Genomic DNA, 10519 nt, shown 5'->3' on the forward strand with positions numbered 1-10519 from the left:
GTGATGCAGGAGATTACTATGATGAAAATGGTGTTTGGGGGATGGTTTTAGGAGGTGTATAGAAGGTAACCCTGAGGTAGGAGGGAGTGAAAGAAGAGAGATTTTTAGTAATGGACACAGGAAAGCTGGCTACATACTGGGCCAGAGAGACATGAACCTGAGAGAACATGAAAGGAGGTCATTGATGAAATTAGGGGATGCTTGGGGTGGGAGGCAAATCTGAGTCCAGTATGTCTCCCAGGTCTGGGTGGCTGTGAGCACAAATGTGAGCATAATGAATGAACTGGGAAAGCTTAGCTGAAACAATGTGTCAGCACATCAAGTACATACAGACAAGATAAAAAATAAGGACAGTTCTGCAGGGCGCGGTGGCTCATGCCTGTAATCCCAGCACTTTGGGAGGCCGAGGAGGGCAGATCACCTGAGGTCAGCAGTTTGAGACCAGCCCGGCGAATGTGGTGAAACATGTCTCTACTAAGAATACGAAAATTAGCTGGGTGTGGTCACACATGACTGTAGTCCCAGCTGCTCGGGAGGCTGAGGCAGAATTGCTTGAACCTGGGAGGCAGAGGTTGCAGTGAGCGGAGACCATGGCATTGCACTTCCGCCTGGGCAGCAGAGTGAGACTCCGTCTCAAAAAAAAAAAAAAAAAAAAAGACCATTAAACCTGATGCTTCATAAGCAAGGCAAGTTTATATAGGCTGGGAGGGAGGGTGTAGGGAATAAGAGGCATCAGAGGTGACCCATCTGGATGTACTAGGTTTGGGGCAGCCCCTGGCCTCCCTCCGATCCAGCTGGGCAGACTTGGCTCGGGGTTGGCTTAAGGATCCCATTCTTCCAGGTGTGAAGAGGCAGGCTGCGGGGGCTTGCTGCGACCTCACGTCGTGTGGTTTGGAGAAAACCTGGATCCTGCCATTCTGGAGGAGGTTGACAGAGAGCTCGCCCACTGTGATTTATGTCTAGTGGTGGGTCATGCCCTTCCCTAACCCCAGGACAGGACTGGAGTTTGTTATTTTTTCCTTCCCCCTCTCCTCTTTTCCTTCCTCCCTCCCTTGCTTCTTTCCTTCCCGCCTTCTCTCCTCCCTCCATTTCTTCCTTTCCTTCAAATGTATGTTGAGAGGTCTTTGTGGTATCCTATAGAAAAACTGAGAAACAATGAATAAGAATTTGTATTAAAATAGGAAACCATGCATGTCTTGGGCATCTCAAAGCCTCCTCCCCCAGCCCCACCAAAAACAAAGAAAAGAACATGCTATTGGTTTTTTAAATAATACATGCTTATGATTAAATTTAATTGAGAACATGCAAAAATTATCACATTATAAAGAGGAAATTAGAAATCGCCCATAGTTCTGCTATCCAGAAATAGTTACCGTTAGCAGTTTAGTATGTTTTCTTCTAGACCCAGGAGTGAGCAAACAGCAGCCTTTGGGCCACATTGGGCCTGCTACCTGTTTTTGGAAATAAAGTTTTATTGGAACTCAGCCACACTCATTCTTCCACACACTGTCTATGACTACTTTCAAACTACAAGTGGCAGAGTTGAGTACTTGTGACAGAGATTGAATGGCCTGCAAAGCCTGAAAAATTTACTGTATGGTCATTTTCAGAATAAGTTTGCCCACCTCTGGTCTAAACCTTTTCTTATGCAGATGTACACGTATTAATTAAAATTCAAAACTGAGTTCATGACATATGTTCTGTTTTGAAACTACTTTGTTCACGCAGCAGTTCACTTAGCATGTTCCATATCAATATGTCTAAATCAATATCATCTTTCAATTGACTGTATGGTGTTATATATGGATAAGGAATGATATATTTAGCTAATTCTCTACTGTAAGACATTTGGGCTATTTCAAATTTTGATAGTTTAATCAATGATATCGTGAATATCCTTAGATAGAAATCTTAGCATGCTCTTCAAATGATTTCCTTAGGACACATTTCCTAAAAGTGGGATTCATTGGACAGATTGTATGCGTATTTCAAATTTTTCTTGACACGTCTTTAAAAGCAGAGGCACTTTCTTGTGGTGCGTATTCATTCAGCCAGTATTTAAAGAATGCTTCCCAGTGTTGAGTATAGTGCCACTGTTGATGATGGATTGTTAAATGAGAAAAGCCGGTTTACAAAACAGGTCATGCTCTTCCCATCCCTGTAAAGAATGTTTATAAGCAAATATTTATAAGAGAAAACCTAAGAGGACATACATGAAAATGTTAACAGTGGTTATCTTGCGGTAAGATTATGGATGATATGTATGTTTTTTTCTTCGTATTTTCTACCTTAAACAAAAAGATAGAAAATATGTTTTAAAAAGTTATGGATCATTTGTTTAACTTTAAAAAGCAGAAACAAAACCAGAATTAACCCCAAAACATGTTGATTGAGTCACTTCTATGTCACTCTTTGCATAACTCTCCTTTTCATGTCACATATTCTTCTCGATTCTAGTGATTGATCAAAGGACACCTCTTCACTTTCCCTTGTCCCTTGGACACCCTGTTTTATCCCATCCTGTTTGGCTTTTCTCACACCTGCAACCACAGACCTGCCTGAGTTTGTGTAAGGTTTTCTGAAATAATGTTCCTTCTCCTTGTCGTCTGGCTGTTTGTTCATCTCCGTGTACTTGCCTTGTAGGTGGGCACTTCCTCTGTGGTGTACCCAGCAGCCATGTTTGCCCCCCAGGTGGCTGCCAGGGGCGTGCCAGTGGCTGAATTTAACACGGAGACCACCCCAGCTACGAACAGATTCAGGTACTGGGATACCCTGATGGGAGAGGGAGATGTGGGAGGCAGGTACAGACATGGTCATCTAAACATAGTTGACCTACTCCTCTAATTTTTAAAAAAGACATAGGGTTTGTGTTTTTTTGTTTGATCTGCAGTTGCTTTTATGGAAGAACAAAATCATTCACTGTAGACTAAGGTAGGGTAGCTCTGTCATTGTATGCGAAATTTGCCGTGGGACTTTTGTTTGTTCACATTTTGAACGCTCTTCTTGGATTCCTTAGGCTTTGCTTTCCCTTACATTTTTAAGCTAGACTTAGTGATGACCTGTAGTTGTAGGTTACCCAAATGCTCCGCAAGTAAGCCTGGGAGATGCCCTTGCAGAACCTCATCACCTGCCGTTCTTACTGGGAGGCCACCTGGCAGATACCCCTTTGGTCTAATCGCCAAGGTTATTTGTATCTGTGGCCATATTATGACACTGATCCTGCTTCCCAAGTTTGGGTGGGAAGTGTAGATTGTCATAGTATGCATTTTTAGTCTTATTCCTGGGTCTGTTTTATTTCTTCATCCATGTTCTGTCTTTTTTCTCACCCCAACTTTTTTTTGCTTTTACCTCTAATTCTTGTCCATCTAGTTAATTCCTTTTGAATAAGTTAGAATATAAATAAGTAGTAAATTAATATAAATGAATAAAATAGAAAACTTCATTGAACCATCTTGTCATTACTTTAATCAACAGTTTCCAACCTTGGCTGCATATTTTAAAAATACTGATGCCTGGGTGCCACCTCATGAAATTTCGATGTCATTGCTCTGAGTTGCAGCCCAGACATCATCATTTTGATAAGCTTCCTAGGTGATTCCTGTGTGCAGCCAGGATAGGAACCACTCTTCTAAGTCTTTGCTGGGATTTAAAAAAAAAAAAGAAAAAAGAAAGAAAAGGGGCCACAGACACTTCAGTAGGCCCCTCCTCAAGTGAGTGAACTGGCTCTGAGCCTCTTCTTTTCCATGTGTCTTTTTGATCAGCTACAGCCTGTGTTCTTGATCCATAGTTCTTCATCTGTGTGTGAGTAGTAGGAACTAAGAAGATAGCCTTAAAAAAAAATTGCCTCCTATGCAAAACTTATACTCTGAAAACTACAGAACATTATTGAAAGAAATAAGGAAGGCCTAAATGAATGGAAACATATCCAGTGTTCATGGATTGGACAACTTAATATGATTAAGATGGCAATGCTCCCCAAATTGATCTATGGGCTCAATCAACTCAGTCCCTATCAAAATCACAACTGGCTTTTGACAGCAATTAATTGAAAAGATTAATCTAAAATTCATATGAAAATGCAAGGGACCCAAAATAGCCAAAACAAAATGAAAAATGAAGTTGGAGAACTCATACTTCCCAATTTCAAAACTTACTATGTATTAACTAGGCATGATGGCACATGCCTGTAATCCCAGCTACTTGGGAGGCTGAGGCAGGAGAATCGCTTGAACCTGGGAGGGGGAGGTTGCAGTGAGCCGAGATTGTGCCATTGCACTCCAGCCTGGGCAACAAGAGTAAAACTCCGTCTCAAAAAAAAAAAAAAACTTACTACAAAGTTGCAGTAATCAAGACAGTGTGGCACTGGCATAGGATAGATATATAGAATCAGTGGAGTAGAATTGAGAGTCCAGTAAAAAACAAAACAAAACAGAACAATAAAACAAACCTCACATTCATGGTCAACTGATTTTTGAAAAGAGTGGCAAGACAATTTGATGAAATACAGTCTTTTTCAAGAAATAGTGCTGGATACCCACATGCAAAAGAATAAGCTTGGACCCCTCTGTCACACCATTACAAAAAATAACCCAAAATGGATCATAGACCTAAATGTAAGAGCTAAAAGTATAAAATGTCAAAAGAAAATGTAGGAGTAAATCTTTGTAACCTTGGGTTAAAGCTTTCTTAGATATGACACCAAAAGAGCAAGTAACATAAGAAAAATGGATAAATTGGACTTTATCAAAATTTAAAACTTCTGTATTCCAATGGGTACCATCGATTAAGTAAAAAGACAACCCACAGGCCGGGTGCGGTGGCTCACGCCTGTAATCCCAGCACTTTGGGAGGCCGAGGCAGGTGGATCATGAGGTCAGGAGATCGAGACCATCCTGGTTAACACGGTGAAACCCCGTCTCTACTAAAAATACAAAAAATTAGCCGGGCGTGGTGGTGGGCGTCTGTAGTCCCAGCTACTCGGGAGGCTGAGGCTGGAGAATGGCGTGAACCCGGGAGGTGGAGCTTGCAGTGAGCCGAGATCGCGCCACTGCACTCCAGCCTGGGCGACAGAGCCAGACTCCGTCTCAAAAAAAAAAAAAAAAAAAAGACAACCCATAGAATCGGAGAAAATATTTGTAAGTCTAATATTTGATATTTGATAAGGGATTTGTATCCAGGATATATAAAGAACTCTTACAACTATAAATAATAAAAAGACAATCCAATTAAAAACCAGGTCAAAATATTTGAAAAGACATTTCTCCAAATATATACACATGGCCAATAAGCATATTGAAATGATGTTCAGTAGCAAAACCACAGTGAGATACCACTTCACAGCCACAAGCGTGGCTATAATTTTTAAGATAAAGGAAAATCACAAGTGTTGGTGAGGAAATTGGAACCCTCATACATGGCTGATGAGAATGTACAATGGCGCAGTCATTTTAGAAAACAATGTGGCATTTAAATATAGGGTTACTATATGATCTAGCAATTCTACTCCTTGGTATATAGTCCTAGAAATGAAATCATACATCTACACAAAAATCTGTACACAAATGTTCATAGCAACTTGTTAATGGAAAAAGTAGAAACAACCCAAACGTCCATCGACTGAAGGATGAATAAATAAAATTTGGTATGTTTGTACAATGGACTATATTTTAGCCATAAAAAGAACGAGATATCCATACATGCTACTACATGGATGACCCTTGAAAACGTTATGCTAAGTGAAAGAAGCCAGTCATAAAAGACCATATATGGTATGACTTCATTTATACGAAATATCTAGAATAGGCAGATCAATAGAGAGAAGGTAGATGAGTGGTTGTTTTGGCTGGGAGTAGGGAGGAATTGGGAGTGGGTGCTAATGAGAACAAGTTTCTTTGAGGTTGTTAAAAATGCTCTAAAGTTGATTGTGGTGATGGTTGTATAATTCTGTGAATACACTAAAAGCCACTGAATTATATATTTGAAATAGGTGGATTGTATGTGAATCAAATCTCAATAAAGCTGTTAGATAAAAAGTTAAATGATCTTCTAACTTATCTCCTGAAAAATGCACATTGAGCCTCCGTCTGATTTGTGTTGTGGCACCTATGTGGAGCAGCTGGGCCACTTAGCATGACTAAGCGTAGTAATACCGGAGCTAGGCAGCTCAAGCCTCCTGTCTGTTTGAAAGACCATCAGAAAACTCGAAGAGTGGGACAGGATAAACTTTGTGAAGCAGGACCTGAGCTATGTCCCCAGTTTGGTTCTTCTAATGTGGTTTCTTTTCAGTCATTTGATCTCCATCTCATCTCTAATTATTATAAAGAATTAAAACAAGTCATCATTGTAGAAAAGCAAGAAAATGCAGATAGAGAAAAAGAAGAAAATAAAACTGGAGTATTTCCACAACCCAAGTTTAGAGTTGGCCCCCACCTCCCATGCCATGGACTGAGCAGCAGGGGCCCAGCATCCCTTGGATATGGTGGCTGTGTCTTCATGTGAAAGAAACTGAACTTGGTGGTTTTTCCTGCCAGTTCAGGAGAGATTCTTGGCATGTAATATATATCACTGCTCAAGTCAAGCCTCCTAAAACCACAGACCTGTTTCAGCTGCTACTTCAGCCAAAATTCTTCAGCTTCATATTGTCTTGAAAACCTATGATTGTCTCTAACAAACAGGCTACTTGCTAGTTAGAAATTCTTATCAATTTGGCAAGCTACTTATCAACCAGACTGACCACAAGAACTGTCATCTCATCAATGAAGGAGTAACTGATCAATGAAGCCAGCAATGCTTTTTTCTTGGCATCATCAAAGCTGACATTTAGAAGAGATGCTGGTGATAGTCATCTCATCCTACTCAATTTTTCAAAGGCAGAAACCAACCCTGGAGCAATTGAGAGGACTGTTTAAACACAGAGCTTAACAATGGCAGAATTGTATATCTCGTGCTTAACAGATTTTGGTTGAACTTTACCCTAGGTCAGGGGTCAGCAAACTACTGCCTGTGGGCCAAATTTGCCCACCACCTGTATCTGTAAATAAGGTTTCATTGGAACACAGCTGTGGCCATATGTTTGTATATTGTGTGTGGCTGCTTTTGCATTAGGATGACAGAGGTGAATAGTTGCAACAGAGACTGGCTGGTCTGCAAAGCCTAAAATATGTCCTGTGTGGCCCTTTACAGAAAAAGTTTTCTAACCCCTGCTCTAGGTTACGGAGAAAAAAAAAATGGAATAATGTTCTCTGCTACTTTTAACCTGATTTTCTTTGTTACCTAAATAGGCAGCTAGAATGCTGCCTATATTTTAATAAGGATTTGGATCTCACAAGACACCTTAGGCCTTACACAAGTTGTTCAGATTCTTTGCCCCAGTTCTAATCTAGTGACAAAGGCATAGAATTCTCCTCCCACAGGAATGTATTTCTATTTTCAAGGTGTTAATTAGTTCCAGTTTTGGTTTTGTCGTTTTCCCCATGTCCGATGCTTATATTGGATGATTTCTGATAAACCCTGACTATTCCAATAAACCCTAGGCATTTTTGAATTTAAACCTCAGTGTTTTGACTGTTACTCAACCCCAGGGGGCCTTGGCTTGTAGGATTTGTACATTCGCTGAGGCAAAAATGGGACTGTCGCTGCAGGGAGCTGGTGGCCAGGGCCTTCAAAGCACCTTTGGCCCACTGTGCCCTGCAGCCACTATGTTGTGCCCTGTTGATCTTTAAATTTCTCTAAATGTTGGAATTTAATTAAAGTCCACAAATATTTGTAAGTATCCACTATGTATCAGACACTTTTCTAAGTGCTTAAGATAGGATATATCAGTAAACAAAACAAATATCTACCAAGGAAAGATTATATTCTAGTGGTTGAGGCAGACAGGTAAGCAGTGAACATAAGGTACACATTCTACAGCACGTGAGCAGGTGCTAAGAGACTGCACAAAGTAAAGATGCACAAACCTCATTAAGAAGAGATTGGAGCAAAGACTTGAAGGAGGTGAAGGAGGCAGCCGAAGACATAATCTGGGATAAGAGCTTTTCAGACACTGGGACCACCTGGAGCAGAGGCCCCTCAGTGTGGCTGGAGTGGAGTGAGGAAGTCCCAGGAGAGGCGAGCAGTAAAGTAATGGAGTTGGGGGCTCTGGGGAGGGAAGACACCCAAGCTACCTGCTGTTGGAGTTTAGAAGTCTAAGGAATTGTTAGGTAGAAGAGTTTTATAGATTGTTGTGGTTATATAGTTACCTATCTAGGGTGTGAAGAGGTCACTGCTTTGAAGCGATAGTTGACCGTGTGTGTTAGGGAAGTCCAGCGCTCTCCCTGGCTGTGCTGTCAAGGGCGGGTAGGGAAGCCCTCCTAGTCCATGCAGTCAGGGCTTAGTTGGTCTGTTCATTCAAAAAGCCACTGAAAACAAGACTAATAGAAAAGGACACATACATACTTTAAACATTTTGATATAAAGCATAAATCTACCTTCATTTGCTTTTTGTTTGTTTTTTGTTTTGTTTTGTTTTAAGACAGAGTCTTGCTCTGTTGCCCAGGCTGGAGTGCAGTGGCGCAATCTTGGTTTACTGGAAACTTTGCCTCCCGGGCTCAAGCAGTCCTCCCACCTAAGCCTCCCGAGTAGCTGGGATTACAGGCGTGCACCACCACACCTGGCTAATTTTTGTATTTTTAGTAGAGACGGGATTTCACCATGTTGGTCAGACAGGTCTCAAACTCCTGGCCTCAAGAGATCCACCTGCCTTAGCCTCCCGAAGTGCTGGGATTACAGGCGTGAGCCAACACACTTGGCCTGCTTTTTTTTTTTTTTTTGGAATAGAGCTAAAGGCCTTTTGTTTGAGTAGGGATCTGCTGATTGGAGCTCACCTTTCTTGTCGTATCCATAATCTTCCTCGTGTTCCCCAAATACCCCTGAAGATACGAATGACTCCAGCCCTTATTTTATAAAACAAAACAGACAACCAGGAAAATCAGATCCCAAGGCCCCCACCTAGACTTCCTGAATCAGAATTTCTAGGGGGAAGATGCCTGTTTATCTGTGTAGTTAGCAAATGACCCAGGTAATTCTTACCAAGAAACCTTGGCAAACACTGGATTACAACTTCTGGTTTTTGATATTTGTCTGTTTTTTTTTTTTCTTTTAAAGGAGAGCAAGAACTTAGGAAAAGAAACATGTGAAGCAGTCTTCCCCCATCTTTTACACCTACACCTAATTTAACCAAATTATATTTAGTGACTCAGTATGTCTTTCCCAAGCATTCAACTAGTTTTCCTAGAAATAACTCTCTTAACAGCTCTATTTTTGCAGTTTATTACGTAATTTTAAATGCAGCAGGATGATTACATTAACCAATGCAAGTGGCGTGAGCAGATGTGCAGCTAACACTGTAGTCGTGGTTGTCCTACAACTGGTGGGGGCCAGCAGAGTGCACAGGTGTGCTAGAAAGAGGCTTTCAAACACTGTTCATGTTTGCCTTTCCCATTTTAAAAGTTGACATCTAAGGTTTTTTAAATCAAATATAGTTGGAGATGTGATTCCAAGTGCATTGGAAACACTGCCATTTTATTTATTTATTGATGTTTGAGACAGAGTCTGGCTCTGTTGCCCAGGCTGGACTGCAGTGGCACGATCTCGACTCACTGCAACCTCCGCCTCCCTGGTTCAAGCAATTCTCCTGCCTCAGCCTCCCAAGCAGCTAGGACTACAGGCGTGCGCCACCACACCCAGCTAATTTTTTGTATTTTTTTTTTAGTAGAGACGGGTTTTCACCACATTGCCCAGGCTGGTCTCAAACTACTGACATCAGGCAATCTGCCTAGCTCAAGCTCCTAAAAGTGCTGGGATTACAGGTGTGAGCCACTGTGCCTGGCTGAAACACTGACATTTTAAAATAAAAACTACCATATCATTGTTTAAAATGTATCCAGTCCAATCTGAATGTTATAACTATCTGGTACATACCACCATCCATTTACAAAATAAATATACAAGCCCTTCCTTAACAATTGGAAACTTTGCATTTTTTCTTTTCTCTTTGAACTTGTATTTCCATTCTATCACTACTACAGAATTTATACTAATGTAATATATTTTTATGCATGAAAATCTTTTACTGGCCAGGTACAATGGCTTATGCCTGTAATCCCAGCACTTTGGGAGGCTGAGGCTGGAGGATCACTTGAGGCCAGGAGTTCAGGACCAGCCTGGCCAACATGGCGAAACCCCATCTCTACTAAAAATACAAAAACTAGCCAGGCGTGGTGGTCCACACCTGTAATCCCGGCTACTTGGGAGGCTGAGGTGGGAGAATCCCTTGAGCCTGGGAGGCAGAAGTTGCAGTGAGCCAAGATCGTGCCACTGCACTCCGGCCTGGGTGACACAGTGAGACTCTGTCTTAAAAAAAAAAAAAAAGAGAGAGAGAAAGAAAATCTTTTACTGACTACCTATTATACTTCTACAGCAAAATATCATATGAATTATTTAATTTTTTCAATTTCCTTAAAATGTTAAAAAATGCTTT

The 10519-nt window shown here is 41.1% G+C and overlaps 1 protein-coding gene and 1 long non-coding RNA gene across 45 annotated transcripts in view; one reads left to right on the plus strand and one right to left on the minus strand.

The window, feature by feature from the left end:
• The window catches only part of SIRT5 (sirtuin 5), a 40885-nt gene that overhangs the window by 23917 nt on the left and 6449 nt on the right, over positions 1-10519 (plus strand). For 20 of the 43 annotated variants that reach the window (NR_164854.1, NR_164852.1, NM_001376798.1 and 17 more), the window contains 2 exons: positions 842-965; positions 2644-2759. Coding sequence is in view for 39 of the 43 variants with exons in the window: in NM_001376798.1 (NP_001363727.1) it covers positions 842-965; positions 2644-2759 (240 nt within the window). In the remaining 4 variants the exon portion in view is untranslated. Of the gene's footprint in view, positions 1-841; positions 966-2643; positions 2760-2890; positions 3448-6285; positions 7550-10519 lie in introns of those variants that run through there. The other 23 variants (NR_164853.1, NM_001376809.1, XM_047418527.1 and 20 more) reach the window with 5 other exon arrangements.
• Positions 840-10404, minus strand: LOC105374938 (uncharacterized). 2 transcript variants are annotated; one of them, XR_001743983.2, is made up of 3 exons: positions 8865-9593; positions 8241-8411; positions 840-1451 (listed from the first exon to the last, which is right to left on the minus strand). It is a non-coding gene; the product is annotated as an uncharacterized LOC105374938 (long non-coding RNA). The 2 variants fall into 2 exon arrangements; XR_007059460.1 differs by having other exon boundaries at positions 8241-10404.

Source organism: Homo sapiens, chromosome 6, assembly GCF_000001405.40.
Source record: "Homo sapiens chromosome 6, GRCh38.p14 Primary Assembly".
NCBI lineage: Eukaryota > Metazoa > Chordata > Mammalia > Primates > Hominidae > Homo > Homo sapiens.